At 43.2% G+C, this 20,268-nt stretch overlaps 2 long non-coding RNA genes across 4 annotated transcripts; one reads left to right on the top strand and one right to left on the bottom strand.

Annotated features, from left to right (window-relative positions):
- Positions 1-1,901: 1,901 nt before the first annotated feature.
- LINC01012 (long intergenic non-protein coding RNA 1012) lies at positions 1,902-18,089 on the top strand. Of its 3 annotated transcripts, NR_038294.1 has the most exons (4): positions 1,902-2,373; positions 10,181-10,284; positions 15,206-15,283; positions 17,991-18,089. It is a non-coding gene; the product is annotated as a long intergenic non-protein coding RNA 1012 (long non-coding RNA). The 3 variants fall into 3 exon arrangements; NR_038293.1 differs by lacking the exon at positions 15,206-15,283; NR_038292.1 differs by lacking the exon at positions 17,991-18,089 and having other exon boundaries at positions 1,946-2,093; positions 14,506-17,024.
- On the bottom strand, positions 11,002-18,763 carry LOC124901291 (uncharacterized). The gene is made up of 2 exons (XR_007059534.1): positions 18,541-18,763; positions 11,002-11,226 (listed from the first exon to the last, which is right to left on the bottom strand). It is a non-coding gene; the product is annotated as an uncharacterized LOC124901291 (long non-coding RNA).
- Positions 18,764-20,268: the final 1,505 nt, after the last annotated feature.

Genomic DNA, 20,268 nt, shown 5'->3' on the forward strand with positions numbered 1-20,268 from the left:
ACTCTGAGTATTCAGATTTATCCCAAAAGTTTCTAAAATGACCAAACTGTTCAGAATCATGCTTTTTTCCCTTTTCTTTCTTTCTTTTTTTTTTTTGTTTTTTGTTTTTTGTTTTTTGAGATGGAGTCTTGCTCTGTTGTCCAGGCTGGAGTGCAGTGGTGGGATCTCAGCTCACCGCAACCTCCGCTATCTTGGTTCAAGAGATTCTCTTGCGTCAGCCTCTCCAGTAGCTAGGATTACAGGCACCCGCTACCACACTCAGCTAGTTTTTGTATTTTTAGTAGAGTTGGGGTTTCACCATGTTGGCCAGGCTGGTCTCGAAGTCGTGACCTCAAGTGATCTGCCTGCCTCGGCCTCCCAGAGTGCTGGGATTACAGGCGCGAGCCACCACGCCTGAGCAGAATCATGCTCTTAATTGTACTTGAAAAACAAAACTTTATCTGAAAAAACTTTCTGAGTTTTTGTTTGTATGTTTTTGTTTCTGCTAAAGCTCAAAGTTTCTGACCCTAGGCAAGTTTTTATTAGTCATAGTGCATTAATAACAAATAAATACAAATAGGGCTAATAGGAAAAAAAGGACTAAGAAACTAAGAGGTAAGAAACAGAAGAATGACAGGTTTTGCTTTAAGGAAAAGTGGAGTGGCCCGGCCTTGGTGGCTCATGCCTGTAATCCCAGCACTTTGGGAGGCCGAGGCGGGTGGATCACGAGGTCAGGAGTTTGAGACCAGCCTGGCCAAGGTGGTGAAACCTCGTCTCTACTAAAAATACAAAAATTAGCCAGGTGCGGTGGTGGGTGCCTGTAATCCCAGCTACTCGGGAGGCTGAGGAGGCTGAGGCAGGAGAATCGCTTGAACACGGGAGGTGGAGGTTGCAGTGAGCCGAGGTCGCGCCACTGCACTCTAGCCTGGGCGACAGAGCAAGATTCCGTCAAAAAAAAAAAAAAATTAAAAAGATTTGCTTCCAACCACATAAGGGGAGGAGTGGTTTATAGATTAATAAAATTGCCACGAGTTGGTATTTCTTTTCTTTCATCTTGTTTTCTTTCTTTTTTTTTTTTTTTTGAGGCGCAGTTTCGCTGTTGTTGCCCAGGCTGGAGTGCAATGGCGCTATCTCGGCTAATCACAACCTCCGCCTCCTGGGTTTAAGCGATTCTCCTGCCTCAGCCTCCCTAGTAGCTGGGATTGCAGGCATGCACCACCACATCCGGCTAATTCTTTTTATTTTTAGTAGAAACAAGGTTTCTCCATTTTGGTCAGGCTGGTCTCAAACTCCCAACCTCAGGTGATCCGCCCACCTCGGCCTCCCAAAGTGCTGGGATTACAGGCGTGAGCCACCGCGCCAGGCCTTCTTCTTCTTTTTTTTTTTTTTTTTTTTTTTTTTTTGAGAGGAGTCTTGCACTGTCGCGCGGGCTGGTGTGCAGTGGTGTCATCTCGGCTCGCTGCAACCTCCGCCTCCAAGGTTCAAGCGATTCTCCTGCCTCAGTCTCCCGAGTAGCTAGGATTACAGGCGCCCGCCACCACGCCCAACTAGTTTTTTGTATTTTTAGTACAGACGAGGTTTTACTATGTTGGCCAGGTTGGTTTCGAACTCCTGACCTTGTGATCCGCCCGTCTCGGCCTCCCAAAGTGTTGGGATTACAGGCGTGAGCCACCGCGCCCGGCCGAGTTAGTAATTCTTGAAGGTGTGTCAGGTACATTGGATGCACTGTACTATTCTGTCTACCTTTGTATATATACTTTAAAGGTTTTTCCCCACAATTTCTCTGGGAAACCTGAACCTTTCTTCCCCGTGTGTTTAGAAGGGAAGGTGAGGAGAGTCAAAGGCACATGGAGCATTAACAGTTGGAATAAACGACAGAGACACGGAAACCTCCGAGGTTTCCAGAGCGGACCCGGAAATGACGCCAGGGGATGCAAACCCTTCTGCCCCTTTTTGCTACCCCTGAAGCTTACTGTTAGTGGTCGAGTTTTTCTGGAAGTGGGCTTCCGCGATCGCGGGGACCAACGCCCTGAGCTCTTGTGCCCAAAGGGGATCGCCAGGTTTTTTGATGCGGATCGAAAGGGACTGGCCCCGGAGCCTACAACCTGACGCAGGTGGGACTTGGGGAAATGTCGAGAAACCTAGGTCTGGGACTTGAGTTGGCTTCCAGGGCACACATTCTTGTTCAGAAGAAACACATTGCAAAAATCGGGAGGTGACGGGCAGATGAAGTGTCGGCGCTTCGCCTCGGGACTCCAGTGCAACCTATGGGGCTTTTGGAAATGAGGAAGTCGATGACTCTGCAGGGACTCCTCTGACCCAGGAGCAGATGGCGCTCGTCTGGGCACTCCCCAGGAGAAAAGGTGCATCGGGAAGCAGCCTGGCTTGTGGATGGTAATAAGTCACTGTTGATGGGTTGGGTGCAGGGAGGGATTTAAGTTCTTGAGCGACAGATGCTAGGGAGTTTACCTGCTCTGGATAACAGTATCTTGTGGAGGATAGTCACCTGGAAAACAGAAATGGCGTGACTGTGTTGAATACACTGTTTGATGATTCTGGGCATCAGGTGAATAGGAAATGTGTAACGTTATGGATGAGTGTGTGCTCATCGGACAGTAGCAGTGCATCTTAACAGTCGGCCTCTCAGTCCTCCTCTTCCTTAGAATCACCTATAGAGCTTTAAAATTTCCTGGATAATGTTAATGTGCAGCCAGCGATGATGACCATTGGGCTACAGTCAAATCCAAGAGGCGCATCTCATCCTTTGTTCTGATGGACAGAAACCATTATTCTGACATCGTGCCTGTTGGAGACATTGTACCTTAACTAGCATTTAATTCATGTGTGCTGGATTCGCTGAATGAAACTTACCAGCAGGGTACTGAATCTTGAATAATACAAGGAACGAGTAGAATAAGATAGTTCTCATTTTATCCTTATCTAATCTAAGAAATCTAGCAATATTTCTCTGTTTAAGTTTTTTTTCTTCAACAAAAAACAAAATACATGTAAGAGGATTTTCTGACACTGCTGGGGGCTCATAGAATTCTAGTGTCTAGTGTCTTTTCTGTCAGTTAATGTTACAAAGTTCAGTGGTGCTCCTTTTTTGAGATGGTGTCTAGCTCTGTCACTCAGGCTGGAGTGAAGTGGTGCCAACTTGGCTCACTGCATCCTCTGCTTCCCGGGTTCAAGCGATTCTCCTGCCTCAGCCTCCCAAGTAGTTAGGATTTCAGGTGTGTGCCACAACGCCCAGCTACTTAGTAGAGCCGAGGTTTCCCCATGTTGGCCAGGCTGGTCTCGAACTCCTGACCTCAAGTGATCCACACATCTCGGCTTCCCATAGTGCTGGGATTACAGTTGTGATGATCTTAAAACCTCTAACGATTTGGAAATATTCCTCCAGTGATCTTTGTTCTGTCGCAGTGATTGTAATAACATTTATTGAGGAGTTGTATGCCCAGTACTATTAAATAGGTTTACAAATTTTGTTATTTAATCCTCACAACTCTGTTAGAGAGATTGGATATTTTTATATCCATTTAACCACAGTAAAGCTGAGGCTTAGAGGATTTAACCTGGTAATAAGTCCAACATCCCACAACTAGTAAGTGACAGAACCAAGGATTTTCATTCATGTCTGTATAACATAAAAGCCTGTGTTTTATACTTTTTTTTTTTTTTTTTTTTTTTGAGATGAAGTCTCGCTCTTGTCTCCCAATCTGGAGTACAATGGCGCGATCTTGGCTCACCGTAACCTCTGCCTCCCAGGTTCAAGCGATTCTCCTGCCTCAGCCTCCTGAGTAACTGGGATTACAGGTGTGTACCACCACGCCCAGCTAATTTTTTGTATTTTAAGTAGAGACGGGGTTTCACCATGTTGGCCATACTGGTCTCGAACTCTTGACCTCAGGTGATCCATCCACCTCGGCCTTCCAAAGTGCTGGGATTACAGGTGTGAGCTACCGCGCCCAGCCATGTGTTTTTTACTTTTTAGTCAATGGGGCACTTCAGATTACAAGATCTGTGACCCCCCCACAACCATTCCATGAACTATTGGTTCAGCATATAAGAGGACCCGTTTTCTGCCATTTCCTGCATGATGCCTCTAGCAAGCATTGCAATCACAAAGACCTGGGTTTTTAAAATTATTACAAAGAAAAGGAAAGCTTCAGTAGTATGTTGATTAAAGGAATGTCTAGAAAAGGGGAATGGGATATGAGAACCAGGTTACACCAAATTGACAGTTTATGAAAAAATAGTAACCAAGAATATGATACTAATTTTGACTAATTGGTTTTGAATAGACATGGCTTTATTCATTTAAGACAAGCATCTCCATATTTGTGGAGTTTATTCTAGAGGAAAATACAGTTTCTCAGGTGATGGTATTGTGGAGAAAAAGAAATCAGAGAAGGGCAATATGGAGTAGGGTAGAGTGAGGAATGGGTGTTGAGTTTTAAATAGGATGAATGCGGAAGACTTTACCATTATTTAAGCAAAGACTAAGGAATGAGGAGTGAATCACGGGGATTCCAGAGAAGGAACATTCTAGGAAGGAAATATGCCTTGTTTTGGAAGCCATGAAGAGCTCTATACTGTTGACTAGAGATTTGTATTTTGGGTCTGTGACAAATACACCAGGATGATCAGAATCTAGCCAGGAAGGGGTAGAGTTCATGAGAGGAAGGAAGTTGACATTGGCTGGTAAAAACAGACTCTTAAAAGAAACCTCTTTCAGGCGGTGGCTCACGCCTGCAATCCCAGCACTTTGGGAGGCCAAGGTGGGGGCGGATCATGAGGTCAGGAGTTCGAGACCATCCTGGTTAACATGGTGAAACCCCGTCTCTACTAAAAACATAAAAATTAGCCAGGCATGGTGGCCTGCACCTGTAATCCCAGGTACTCAGGAGGCTGAGTCAGGAGAATCACTTGAACCCGGGAGGCGGAGGTTGCAGTGAGCCGAGATCGCGCCACTGCACTCCAGCCTGGGTGACAGAGTGAGACCCTGTCTCAGAAAAAAAAAATAAGAAAATAAGAAACCTCTTTCAAAATAGGCTTTTGCCGGGCGCGGTGGCCCACGCCTGTAATCTCAGCACTTTAGGAGGCCGAGGCGGGCGGATCACGAGGTCAGGAGATCGAGACCATCCTGGCTAACACATGATCCGCCCCCCCTTGGCCTCCCAAAGTGCTGTCTCTATTAAAAATACAAAAAATTAGCCGGGCGTGGTGGCGGGCGCCTTTAGTCCCAGCTACTCAGGAGGCTGAGGCAGGAGAATGTTGTGAACCCAGGAGACGGAGCTTGCAGTGAGCCGAGATCGCGCCACTGCACTCCAGCCTGGGTGACAGAGCGAGACTCCATCTCAAAAAAAAAAAAAAAAAATGGCTTTTAAAAGAATATTTTTACTGACATTGAAAGTAATCTTGTATGTATGTGCTTATGGTAGAGGGAAGAAGAGAAAAGCTAGTGAAAGGAGAAGAAAGCTGACTTCCTGGAAGCTGTTGCAAAAAAAAGAATGATAGAATATTTTTTTTTTTTTTTTGAGAGGTTGTCTGGCTGTGTTACTCAGGCTGGAGGGCAGTGGTGCAGTCTCGGCTCACTGCAACCTCTGTCTCCAGAGATCAAGCGATTCTCCTGCCTCAGCCTCCTGAGTAGCTGGGATCACAGGCGTGCACCACTGGGCCCAGCTAATTTTTGTATTTTCAGTAGAGACTGGGTTTCGCCATGTTGGCCAGGCTGGTCTTGAACTCCTGACCTCAGGTGATCTGCCCACCTTGGCCTCCCAAAGTGCTGGGATTACAGGTGTGAGCCACCACACCCGGCTATTTTCACTGTTATTTATTTGTTAGGTGGCATACTTTCCAACTTTTTTCACAACACTCTATCTTAAGAGATTTCTATATTAATATACAGTGTCTTCATTTGTATATGGATATACCATAATATATTTAAGCCATTTCCTGGTGATGAACACTTGGGCTTTACTCATTTCCTGGTGATAGACACTAGGTTGTTTCTAATCTTTCACCACCACAAACAATGCAGTGAATAACTGTGTGTATGTATCATATATACATACACATATATATACACACACACAATTATATATGTACAGTTAACTATATATATAGCTTTATATATAAATATATACACACATAATCATATATATATACAGTAAACATATAACTGAAGAAACATATTTTTCCTTCATTCCCTGTATATAACACTATTACACAGAAAAATTTTGTTTTATTAAATAGCTAATGTCTGTTTTTTCCTAAAGTGTCACATTTCTTTAGGTCAGATGAACATAGATTAACAATCACATTTTAGCTGGGTGCCATGGTTTATACTTGTAATCCCAACGCTGGAAGGCCAAGGCAGGTGGATTATTTGAGCTCAGAAGTTTGATACCAGCCTGGGCAACGTGGCGAAACCCTGTCTCTACAAAAAAATTTAAAAATTAGCTGGGCGGCCGGGCATGGTGGCTCATGCCTGTAATCCCAGCACTTTGGGAGGCCGAGGCGGGCGGATCACGAGGTCAGGAGTTCGAGACCAGTCTGGCCAATATAGCGAAACCCCATCTCTACTAAAAATACAAAAGATTAGGCGGGCGTGGTGGCGGGTGCCTGTAATCCCAGCTACTCGGGGGGCTGAGGCAGGAGAACTGCTTGAACCCGGGAGGCAGAGGTTGCAGTGAGCCGAGATCACGCCATTGCACTCCAACCCGGACGACAGTGCGAGACTCGGTCTCAAAAAAAAAGAAAAAAAATTAGCTGGGTGTGGTGGTGTGTGCCTGTAGTCTCAGCTACCCAGGAGGCTGAAGTGGGAGGATTGCTAGAGCCCAGGAGGTTGAGGCTGCAGTGTGCTGTGACTGCGACAGAGCCTAGACGGGGTGACAGAGCAAGACCTGTCTCAGAAAAGAAAACAATTTTTTTTGTATTGTATGATGAGCTAACATATTGTAAACATATCCACTTTTCCATTCATGTTTAAATTTATATTGGTCCTCCAACCCGGACGACAGTGCGAGACTCCGTCTCAAAAAAAAAGAAAAAAAAATTAGCCGGGCGTGGTGGTGTGTGCCTGTAGTCTCAGCTACCCAGGAGGCTGAAGTGGGAGGATTGCTAGAGCCCAGGAGGTTGAGGCTGCAGTGTGCTGTGACTGCGACGGAGCCTAGACGGGGTGACAGAGCAAGACCCTGTCTCAGAAAAGAAAAATTTTTTTGTGTGTTGTATGATGAGCTAACATATTGTAAACATATCCACTCTTCCATTCATGTTTAAATTTATATTGGTCCTGCCACCTTGTTGAGCATTTTGCCTTTACTCTGCTTTGTATCGGGTGGTGGATTTGGATGGTGCTTATATATTGAGAGAAGGTTTATTTGCAGCTGAATTGTGCAGAAATGACTTTTATGGGAGTTGGCCTGGGTGAGCAGAACTAGCACTAGGTTATTCCTGATAACTTCTTTCTCTTTTTATAGACCTGCTTTGCTCAGAAAGGGAGATCAGGAGACCAGGTGATGCTGTAGCAAATGTCAGAGTCGAGTCCTAGGTAATATCCCACCTTTCCAGGATCTGCCTGCTTCATGGCAGCTGCCCCAATCTCCTTCACTTGGGCTAGACCCTGCCTAGCACACCACTAGTCACATGCATCTACTCAGGAATTGCAAGACCCTTCTATAGATGAATGAGATGTTTCTTGCCCAGCAGACTTTTCTCTTAACCGCCACTTTACACTTACCCTTCTTTCCATTTCTCTTCAGCCTTATTTAAACAAGCATAAACATCTTTTTATGAATCTTCTCATACTTGTTGTTTTTTTCTTTTTTGAGACGGAGTCTCGCTCTGTCACCCAGGCTGGAGTGCAGTGTTGCGATCTCAGCTCACTACAACCTCTGCCTCCTGGATTTAAGTGATTCTCCTGCCTCAGCCTCCCGAGTAGCTGGGACTATAGGCGCATGCCACCATACTCAGCTAATTTTTGTATTTTTAGTAGAGATGGAGTTTGGCCATGTTGGCCAGGCTGGTCGTTCCTTGCATGCATTTTTGTGCATGTGTGGCCTTCTCTTTAGAAAAGCAGGATCATGGGGTACGTTTTAAGAATATGGGATAGGTCAGGCTTGGTGGCTTATGCCTTTAATTCCAGCACTTTAGGGGAGGCTGAGGTGGGAGGATCATTTGAAGCCAGGAGTTGGAGACCAGCCTGGGCAACAAAGCAAGAACACCCACCCCATCCCTCTTTCCCTCAATTAAAAAAATAAAAAAAAATTAGTGGAGTGTGATGGCTTGCACCTATAGTCCTAGATACTCCAGAGGCTGAGGTGGAAGGTTGCTTCAGCCCAGGAGTTCGAGGTTACAGTGAGCTATGATTGTGCCGCTGTGCTCCAGTCTGTCTCTTCAAAAAAAAAAAAAAAAAAGAACGTTGGGTGTTTGAGGATGTGGTTGTGAACTGGGTTCTGGTAGAGTCAGGGCTTGCTCAAGACTTACCTTTTTCGGAATGAGATTTAAATATGGACCTTTTTAAAACAATTGTAATAAAATACACATAACATTTAGCATCTTAATCATTTTTTTGTTTGTTTGTTTGTTTTTTTGAGATGGAGTCTCGCTGTGTCGCCAGGCTGGAGTGCAGTGGCACGATCTCTGCCTCCTGGGTTCAAGCGATTCTCCTGCCTCAGCCTCCCATGTAGCTGGGATTACAGGCACATGCCACCACGCCCAGCGAATTTTTTTTGTATTTTTAGTAGAGATGAGGTTTCACCATGTTGGCCAGGATGGTCTCGATCTCTTGACCTCGGGGTCCGCCCACCTCGGCCTCCCAAAGTGCAGGGATTACAGGTGTGAGCCACTGCTCCCAGCCTATCTTAACTGTTTTTAAGTGTTCAGTTCAGTACTGTTAGTTACATTCACATTGTTGTGCAACCATCACTACCATCTAGCTGCAAAACTCTTTGCATCTTATAAAACTGAAACTCTATACCTATTAAGAAATAACTCCCCATTCCCCTCTCCCTTCAGCCTCTGGACATCACCATTCTGCTTTTTGTGTCTATGAATTTGACTATTCTAGGTACCTCAAATAAATGGAATCATACAGTATTTGCCTTTTTGTGACTGGCTTGTTTCACTTAGCATAGTGCTCTCTAGCTTCATTCATGTTGTAGCATGTCAATTTCCTTACTTTTTAGAGTTGAATAATATTTCACTCTACGTATATACCACATTTTGTTTATCCATTCATCTGCCAATAGTCACTTGGGTTGCTTTCACCTTTTGGTTATTGTGAATAATGCTGCTATGAACATGGGGTTTATAAATATCTCTTTGAGATCCTGCCTTCAATTCTTTTTTTTTTTTTTTTTTTTTTGAGACAGAGTCTTGCTCTGTCGCCCAGGCTGGAGTGCAGTGGCACGATCTCGGCTCACTACAAGCTCCGCCTCCCGGGTTCATGCCATTCTCCTGCCTCAGCCTCCCGAGTAGCTGGGACTACAGGTGCCCGCCACCACGCCCGGCTAATTTTTTGTATTTTTAGTAGAGACGGGGTTTCACCGTGTTAGCCAGGATGGTCTCGATCTCCTGACTTCATGATCCATCTCCTCGGCCTCCCAAAGTGCTGGGATTACAGGCGTGAGCCACCGTGCCTGGCCTACATGCCTTCAATTCTTTAGAGTATACCCAGAAAAGGAATTACTGGGTTATATGGTAATTCTATTTTTCATTTTTTGAGGAATTGCCATGCTGTTTTCCATAGAAGCTATATTATTTTGCATTCTCACCAACAGTGCACAAGGATTCCAATTTGTTTTCATCCTTGCCAACATTTGTTATTTTCTGCTTGGGTTTTTTTTTTTAAAGGTAGGTGACCTAGTGGGTGTGAAGTGGTATTCTTTGTGGTTTTTATTTACATTTCCCTAGTGATTAGTGATGTCGTGTATCTCTTTGCATTTGCATATCTTTGGAGAAATGCCTATTCAAGTTTTTTGTCTAGTTTTTAATTGGATTATGTTTTTTTTGTTAAGCTATAAAACTTCTATTTTTAAAATGAAGACCCTTCTCTGGATCTGCTAATCTTTGTAGGGATAGTAGATAAATGGGAAGATGTATTCAAAATTAATTCTTGAACTACTCAATGCTTCTGGGGTTTTTTGGGTGTGTGTGTAAATAAGGTAATACTTAAAAAAAATGAATTGTTTTCTAGGTGGACAAGGTGGAGGAGAGAGAATTCCTTGGCAGTAGCATTATGAACAAATGCAGGGCTGAGAAACAGCATGGTGGCCTTGACTAAGTTTATGGCGACAGCAGGTAAGTCTGGAGAGAAAGCTTTACAGGACATGTGGGTGGCTTGGACATGCTTCTCCTAGCCCAATGCTGTCCAATAGAACTTTATCCTGTATCTGTGTTGTCCAACACAGTAATCGCTATGTACATGTGGCTATTAAACTCTTGAGGCTGGGCATGGTGGCTCACGCCTGTAATCCCAGCACTTTTGGAGGCCGAGGCAGGCATATCCCTTGACCTCAGGAGTTTGAGACTAGCCTGGACAAAATGATGAAACCCTGTCTTCACAAAAAATACAAAAAAAATTATCAGGCATGGTGGCATGCCCCTGTAGTCCCAGCTACTTGGGAGGCTGAGGTGGGAGGATCGCTTGAGCCTGGGAGGTCGAGGCATCAGTAAGCTGTATTTGCGCCACTGCACTCCAGTCTGGGAGACAGAAATAGACCCTGCCTCAAAAAAAAAAAAAAAAACCACTTGAAATGTGGCTAGTACTAATGAATTTTTACTGAATTTTAGTGGCTACTTTATTAGACAATACAACTCAACTCTAGGCAGTGGTTTCTTAATAGGCAGGTAGTATAACCAGATTATGTCTTAGATTATAGTTATAATATGGAGAATGCATTGAACAGGGACAAGACCAAAAACAGTAAAATCAGTCAAAAGACTCTCGGAATAATCTAGGTAGGTGTGTGTAAACTTTGGCCCCCCTTTAGTTATCAGTCCTTAATTCTACTCTGATTTTTTTCAGTTAGGATGTTTATTTGATTAGTACCATAAAGACCAAGTAACAATGATTAAGCAAGATAGAAAATTTTCTTTGTCATATAAATGTGCTGTTGAAGGGCAAACCAGAGACTTCTAGAAGCCCTTCTCCACAAAGTTCTCCAGGGGTCTATGTTCTTCTAGCTGCTTTTGGACCTCCTGAGGATTGCCTTGTTCACATGGGTGAAACAGAATCACAGCCTGCAGGAAGGGGAAAGAAAATATTGTGACTTAGAAGCTTCCTTTTAAGCAATGACAGAATGAAAGTTGCATATAACACTTTGGCTCACATTCTATGTTAAGCTAAAACTTGGGAGATTCTGACATCAAAGACGCCACGTATTTAGGAAAGAGTTTATAGGCATAAAGAGTGGGAAATTTTTCAGCTACAGCTCAGCCTTTCTTGTACATCAGTGTCCTCGCATGGGGAAAGAAGAGAGTAGTGCTTGAATGGGAGGAGTGAAAGAAAACTTGTACAACATCAGAGAATCCCTGCTGTACTAGTTTATTAATGCTGCCGTAACAAAATATCACAACTGAGCGACTTAAACAACAAAAGTGTCTTTGTCTCACAGTTCTGGAGGCTAGAAATCCAAAATCAAGGTTTCAGTAGAGTTGATTCCTTCTGAGGGCAATGAGGGAAAGATCTGTTCCAGCTTCTCTGCTTGGCTTGTAGATAGCCATTCTTTCCTATGTCCCTTCACCTTGTATTCTCTCTTGGTATGTCTGTATCCAAATTTTCCCTTTTTAAAAGGACACCGGCCATATTAGGATGGGTTAGGTCACATTCTAATGACCTACTTTCAGTTGACCTCACTGTAACTCTCTAAAGGCACTGTCTCCAAATAAGGGTCACATTCTGAGGTACCAAGTTTTAGGACTTCAACGTATGAATTTTGGTGGAACACAGTTCAACCCATGATATCTGCTAGTAAGGGAGCTTGCAAATATGACTAATTTCTAACCAGTTTCTAACATCCCATTTGACAGCAGGGAATTCCATATTTAAGGAAACTATTCATATTAACATTTAACATGGTTTTATGGCCGCCCAAAATCAATTTGTCACACTTCTCTTTTTTGATGTTTAAAGGGCACAGACACCAAAAGCTGAGACTCTGAACTTGATCAGCGTATTTTCAAATTTCAGGAATTCTTCTCATCAGAGAGCCTAACTTGGAAATGACCATTTACCTTTTCCAAATTTTCTTAACCCATAAAGAGGTTAAGGCCAACATAAGGGAGCTAATACATCTGCTGATTGAAAGTCAGATTATCTCAACTGCAAAAAAAAGTTGGGGCTTGAGTTAGATATTAAAAAAATAAAAATGATTCACTGTGAAAAGTGGTACAAAACTATGTTAAACATAACATTGTTGGGACAAAACAAAAATTAATTTTATTGAAAGACTGACTTTTTAAAGTTTTTTAGCTTGTTATTTTATTTCTTTTTTGTTGTTGTTTCTTTGAGATAGTGTCTCAGTCTGTCCCGCAGGCTGGAGTGCAGTGGCACGATCTTGGCTTACTGCAACCTCCACCTCCTGGGTTCAAGTGATTCTTGTACCTCAGCCTCCTAAGGAGCTGGGATTACAGACATGCACCACCACACCCTGCTACATTTTATTTTTTTGTATGTATTTTTAGTAGAGATGGAGTTTTACCATGTTGCCCAGGCTGGTCTCGAACTCCTGGGCTCAAGCAACCCTCCCGCCTCGGCCTCCCAAAGTGCTGGGATTACAGGCTTGAGCCACTGCGCCCAGCCTAGCTCGTTATTTTAAAAAGTATTCCCCATTTCTTGTAAATCGCTTGTTCTCTGCACAGTGGAACATTCTCTTGGCTGATTTGTAGATGGGAAGGCTCTTTCTACCGAACTCAGACTCATTACTGTCAGGAGTAGCAAACGTTAACTTTCTAAATGCATTTTACCCAGAATATAAACCTATGTGCTATTCTTAAATAGATTTAAACTTTCTCAATTCTAACATTTTAATAATTTTAGAACTCATTTCCAACCTGTTTTATACACTGTTCAGCTGATACTTCACAATTAGTACTTTTGATCTAAGTGTTTTCAGGGTGAGATTCCAGATGATCCCAGTAGTTTTGTTGATAAGTCTTCCGTCTTCCCATTAAGTGAAAGTCATATGTTGAAGAATGCAAATCCTTCAGTGTTTAGGTTTTACTCCTGAATTAGTCAGTCTTTCAGACACCCCAGAATAAATCCAGTTACTGCCTCTCATCTTTAAAAACCCTTCTGGTTTCTTCAGTCAGAGAACACAAATCTCCAAGTATTATTGCCAGGCTGAAATTCAGGACACAGCAACTTATTTCGGATGTTAATGTTCCTTGCTCCCCAACTTTATGCAAATGACAAAGGACGAAAACATACAAGGACATGCTTTGGGAGTCCAGGGTGGGAGGATCGCTTGAGCCCAGGAGTTCAAGACCAGCCTGGTCAACATAGTGAAACCTCATCTCTACAAAAAAAATTGAACTTAGCTATGTATATTGGCACATGCCTGTAGTCCCAGCTACTCAGGTTACTGAGGTGGGAGATTGGCTTGAGCCTAGGAATTTGAGGCTGTAGTGAGCCATTATGGTGCGATTGCACTCCAGCCTGGGTGACAGAGGAAGATTCTGTCTCACAAAAAAAAAAAAAAAAAAAAAAAAAAAAAGTATATTATCTATTTGGGAAATCACATTAAAAACCTACACACACCAGGCCGGGCACGGTGGCTCATGCATGTAATCCCAGCACTTTGGGAGGCCAAGGGGGGCGGATCACGAGGTCAGGAGATCGAGACCGTCCCGGCTAACACGGTGAAACCCCGTCTCTACTAAAAATACAAAAAATTAGCCGCACGTGGTGGCGAGCGCCTGTAGTCCCAGCTACTCGGGAGACTGAGGCAGGAGAATGGCGTGAACCCGGGAGGCGGAGCTTGCAGTGAGCCGAGATCGCGCCTCTGCACTCCAGCCTGGGCGACAGAGCGAGACTTTGTCTCAAAAAAAAAAAAAAAAAATACACACACCAAAGAATATACTTTAGGACAAATTATAGACAAGTATATAATAGTATAAGCAGCATTTACAATGAATTCACAATCTTCTTTTAGAAAAAAGGAAAGGATACAGCAATTAAGAGAGTTCCATGCCCTCAGGTTTTATTATTTGACGTGATGGCAGACAGAGGGGATGAAAAGGAGCAGACATCCTTTTTGTGAAAACATTTAGGCCCTCAAGTCAAGAAACTAGGGCTTGAAAGCCCTTGTTTTTGGACTCTAAGGATCTCATGAAAGCTGTGGACTGACTCTTCAGAAAAATACACATACACTTGATATTTTGCACGAGTTTCTTGGTGTTCATGGGTACCCTTCAGGCAAGTGAAATATATTATCTGTCTCAAACTGCATTCTTCTTTGATTTCCTTCACCACAGTGGCTGGAGAACTAAAAATTCTTTCTTTTTCTGATTTCTCTGTAGTTGGGGTAACATGTGACCTGGATCTGATCATTGTGATTCAAGTCAGCGTCATTTAGGGTTTTCGGGAAACATTTTTTGAAAGGGAGCAACTTGGCTGGAACACTCCATCAATTCTTTGCCCTGTGCATTTTTGCCCTTCTTTCTGCCTCTCAGGAATGCAGAGAGAATTCCTGGAGGAACAGCAGCTATCATACATCCGTGATGAAAGCCATGGGACAAAGGCAATTGAGCAAGAAGACAGGAGCTGGGGACATTCTTGACAGTAGTGCCACCTCTGGATGATTTACCTTGGGACCTCTTATTAAATGAGATAGGACTTCTTCCTGTTTAATCCACTGGAGTGGAATTTTCTGTTACAGTGAATGCAGTCCTAATTGATGATATTGGCTAATACATATTAGCACCTGCTATGTCCCAGTACAGTTTAAGCATTTTATCTACTAATGTTTTAAATTTTCTCAGTGACCTTATGAGATAGGCCAAAGGTTCTCAGAGTGTGGTTCCTGGACCAGCAACATCAGCATCACCTGGAAACTTGTTAGAAATACAAATTTTAGGGCCTGGCCCTAGACCCACTGAATCAGAAACTCTAGGGGTGAGGACCTAGCAGTCTGTTTAAAAAGCCCTCCATGCTATTTTGATGAATGCCAAAGTTGGACAGCTACTGAGATAGGGTATTGTTATTATCCCCATTTTACAGATAAGGAAACAGCTGAATTTATGTCACTTGCCCAATGTCACACAACTAGCAAGACTGACTCCTTGAAGCTCATCACATGTAAGAACTGCTTTAGAGCAGTGGTCTTCAAACTTTGAAAGCATATCCTGTTGAAAAATTATGTATCCACTTCTACATTTTTAAGTTGACATCTAAAAATTTCACATCATAAGTTTAAACAGTTGTAAAAAATGTGATTTCTGGTATATTGTGAATTATGACATTTTAAAATGTATTCCATCACTCCTCTAAATGTATTCAGTGGTTTCTAAATACCATAGTGATTTAAATCTATCATCAATTTAAAAAAAAAAACAAGCTTTTTTTTTTAACATTAGATATTTTGCATCTTTTTCTCTCTTTTTTTTTTTTTTTTTGAGACAGACTCTCACTGTGTCACCCAGGCTGGAGTGCAGTGGCACAATCTTGGCTCATTGCAACTTCCACTTCCCAGGTTCAAGTGATTCTCCTGCCTCAGCTTCCCAAGTAGCTGGGATTACAGGCGTACGCCACCATGCCCAGTTAACTTTTGTATTTTTAGTAGAGACGGCGTTTCATCATGTTGGCTAGGCTGGTCTTGAACTCCTGACCTCAAGTGATCTGCCCACCTTGGTCTTCCAAAGTACTGGGACTACAGGCATGAGAAACCAAGCCCGGCCATCTTTCTCTTTTTTACTTGAATTCAGTCTTTTTATTCTTCTTCCATTCCTCTCTCTCTCTCTCTTTTTTTTTTTGAGACAGTCTCACTATGTCACCCAGGCTGGAGTGCAGTGGCGCAATCTCGGCTCACTGCAGCCTCTACCTCCCAGATTCAAGCGATTCTCCTGCCTCAGCCTCCTGAGTAGTTGGGACTACAGGTGCGTGCCACCATGCCCGGCTAATTTTTTTGTATTTTTAGTAGAGATGGGGTTTCACCATTTTGGCCAGGATGGTCTCAATCTCCTGACCTCGTGATCTGCCTGCCTTGGCCTCCCAAAGTGCTGGGATCACAGGCATGAACCACCGCTCCTGGCCTCTTTCTTTCTTTTCTGTTCTTTTCCATCTGCCCTCCCCAAACATCTCCCTCCCTACCTCCCTCCCTCCCTACTTTCCTTGCTTCCTTCCTTCCTCTCTTTCTGTTTCTCTATTTTTCTTTTTTTCCTTCTTTTTTGAGACCATCTCACTCTGTTGCCCAGGATGGAATGCAGTGGCACAATCTTAGCTCACTACAACCTCTGCCTCCCAGGTTCAAGCAATTCTCCTGCCTCAGCCTCCCAAGTAGCTGGGACCACAGGCAGATGCCACCACACCAAGCTAAAGTTTTTTTTTTATTTTTCATAGAGACAGGGGATCTCATTATGTTGCCCAAACTGGTCGTGAACTCCTGGGCTCAAGTGCTCTGCCTGCCTCGGCCTCCCAAAGTGTAGGGATTACAGGCGTGAGCCACTGTGCACGTTGGGACTAATATTTTCTTATTCGTATTTCCATGGCAGAATATTCCTCACTGCTAGAATGAGACCAGAGGTCAAAATCAGCTCTATGTCTGTTTGTCATTCTTATGGATATGAGAAATTGTGTTCACACAAGTAGATAGGAATGAAAGGAATTTTGAAATAGAAATGCAGTTCTAATTTTTCTAACTTCCATATTACGTGCCAAAAATCACATAATAATCTATCATAAGATTCTCTAGTCCTCTCTCATCTGGTGATCTTCTTTTCCACGCTTTCTTTGCAACCCCCTCATGTGGCCAACATTTAGAGTAATGTTTTCCAACTTCTTTTTCTTCAGCTCACAGTAATAAATACATTTTACATCTTGACTCCTGAATGTATATGAATTTATAACGGAAGGTTTTATAATTCACTCCTTTCCCTTGCTACTTATAAGTAAAAGTAAAAAGTTAGTATTAAATATGCATTTAATCATATTTAAATAGTCGTGCATTGTTTAATGACAGGGATACATTCTGAGAAATGTGTTGTTAGGTGATTTCATCCTTGTGCAGACTCACAGAGTGCACTTATACAAACCTAGATCATACAGCCTACTACACACCTAGGCTGTTTGCTATAACCTATTGCTCCTAGGCTATAAACCTGTGCAGCATGTTACTGTACTGAGTATTGTAGGCAATTATAACACAATGATAATATTTGTATACCTAAACATATCGAAACATAGAAAAGGCACAGTAAAAATACAACATAAAAGATTTTTTAAAATGGTACACCTGGCCGGGTGCAGTGGCTCACACCTGTAATACTAACACTTTGGGAGGCCAAGGCAGGTGGATCACTTGAGGTCAGGAGTTTGAAACCAGCCTGGCCAACATGGTGAAACTCCGTCTTTACTAAAATACAAAAAAATTAGCCAGTATGGTGGCAGGCACCTGTAATCCCAGATACTTGGGAGATTGAGGCAGTAGAATCACTTGAACCTGGGAGGCGGAGGTTGCAGTGAGCCAAGATCATGCCACTGCACTCCAGCCTGGGCAATAGAGCAAAACTCCATCTCCAAACAAAAAAAAGTATACTTGTATAGGACACTTATGGAGCTTGCAGGACTGGAAGTTGCTCTGGGTGAGTCAGTGAGTGGTGAATGAATGTGAAGACCTAGGACAATACTGTACACTACTGTAGACTTTATAAACACTACATTTAGGCTACACTAAATTTGTAAAAAATATTTTTCTTCAATAGTAAATTAACCTTAGCTTACTATAACTTTTACTTTACAAACTTTTAAATTATTTATTTATTTTATTTTATTTATTTATTTTTTTGAGATGGAGTCTTGCTCTGTCGCCCAGGCTAGAGTGCAGTGGCGCGATCTCAGCTCACTGAAACCTCTGCCTCCCGGGTTCAAGTGATTCTCCTGCCTCCGCCACGTGAGTAGCTGGGATTACAGGCGTGTACCACCATGCTCAGACAAATAAAACTGGAAAGATAGACTGAGGCTAGAATAAGGAAGGGCTTGGATGTTACCCCAAGGATTATATTTAGAGGTAATCAAAAGGAGTTAGGGGAGTTTCAAGCTGGGGAAGGGCCTGATAAACTTATTTGGGGGAGGTGCTGTTAATCTGGAGTCTAGAATGGTGGGGATAATAACTAGGGTCAGTTAAAAGACAATATAACAGAACTTAAGGCATGACACATTATGGGCATGCAGTAAGCATTTGTTAAATGAATAAGGAGTTAAACTATAGAGAGGATATTGGGGCTTGAATGGAAGACTTAAGAGAGTTTTAGAAACGAGGGATCATTAGGAATTGTCTTTGAAGGGCGAGAAGTAAATATGGAGAATTTAAAGAAACTCCTCCCTTTTTCCCCACTTACTTCTTAGGCGATGCCTCTTCATGGGTGGTGGATGAAGAAACTGAACAGGGCCATGATCCTTATCTGTAATTTCCCGGCTACCACACTGCTTTGGTGGTCTTCCCTCGTCTCTTCCTGGGTAGAAACAACTACCTGGAGATCCCAATGTTCTTGTCAGTGCACTTTTCATGGACTGCAGTGGTAAGACGATGTGTTGGATGCCCAAACACAAACCAAGTAAGTCCTGGATTTAAAAAGGAAGGGCTAAATGTCATTACTAACCTGAGCCTCAGTGCTCCCTCCCCTCATTTCCCTCACAACTACTTCTTCCTGCTGACATCCACCAAACTTTACTATGTGACCTTTAGAACTGGGGGACTCTGAAACCAGAGAGAGCCCTGAAAAGAACTTATACCCCTCTCTCTCTCTCTCTTTAGCCTACTTCATACTGGGTGGAATTTTTATGATTAGCGCCCTTCTCTCATTCTGCTTGAACTTTTTGTTGCTGACCTTCCCTCAGTTATTCCCTGAGACCCAGAAACAGTATATTTTCTGTGCATCCATCTGCATTGTCACAGGTAAAGAGAGGCAGGAATAAATTCCGAATGTCTTGGCCTTGGGGTGAGGGTGGAAGAGGCTTAATTAGCCTCTTAAAAAGTTTTCAGGAGAGTACAAGGGAAAAGGAGAAGCTAGGAGAAAAAATGGTCTGAAAGGAGGGAGAAGAAGAATGAGGGGAGGTGATGAAATAATTTGGTTCCCTGATCATAATACTACAGTTAAATCTTTAAGTATTGATAAGCTAATTAGCAGATTGATCTCTCCCTTCTTTTTTGGGGTTGACAAGTACTTTTGTGTTCTTCTCCTTACTTATGCACTATACACAAATTTTGAAAGTGAGTCAGGGACCTGACCCAACAAAAGTCACTTATAAGTTTCCTTACTTCATAAATTCATTCAGCTATGCTCTATTTCTGCTATCTGGTGAGTGATCATTGGATTCTGTGAGGCCGAAGCGGGAGAGTTAACCTCCCAGGAAGTGGATAAAGCTAATTTCTGGGCCGGGCGTGGTGGCTCACGCCTGTAATCCCAGCACTTTGGGAGGCCAAGGCAGGCGGATCACGAGGTCAGGAGATCCAGACCATCCTGGCTAACACAGCAAAACCCCGTCTCTACTAAAAATACAAAAAATTAGCCAGGCGTGGTGGCGGGCACCTGTAGTCCCAGCTACTCGGGAGGCTGAGGCAGGAGAATGGCGTGAACCTGGGAAGCGGAGCTTGCAGTGAGCTGAGATTGTGCCACTGCACTCCAGCCTGGGCGACCGAGCAAGACTCCGTCTCAAAAAAAAAAAAAAAAAAAAAAAAAAAGCTTATTTCTTTGGTCTTTCTTTTCTTTTTCTGTAAAGGTCTCATATATGTGGAAGCTATAGCAACACCCAGTCATGTAATCTACCCCTTTTTGTCTTTGATTTCTGATCATGAATGCTCATTCATCACTTCTTTGTTTTGTTTTGTTTTGTTTTGTGACAGAGTGTCTCTTCATTGCCCAAGCTGGGGTGCAGTGGCACTGTCTCAGCTGACTGCAACCTTTGCCTCCCGGGTTCAAGCGATTCTCCTGCCTCAGCCTCCCGAGTAGCTGGGATTACAGGCAGCGCCAACAAGCCCGGCTAATTTTTTTTGTATTTTTAGTAGAGTCGAATTTTCGGCATGTTAGCCAGGCTGGTCTTGAACTCCTGACCTCAGGTGATCTGCC

This window comes from Homo sapiens, chromosome 6, assembly GCF_000001405.40.
Source record: "Homo sapiens chromosome 6, GRCh38.p14 Primary Assembly".
In the NCBI taxonomy this organism is placed as follows: Eukaryota; Metazoa; Chordata; class Mammalia; order Primates; family Hominidae; genus Homo; species Homo sapiens.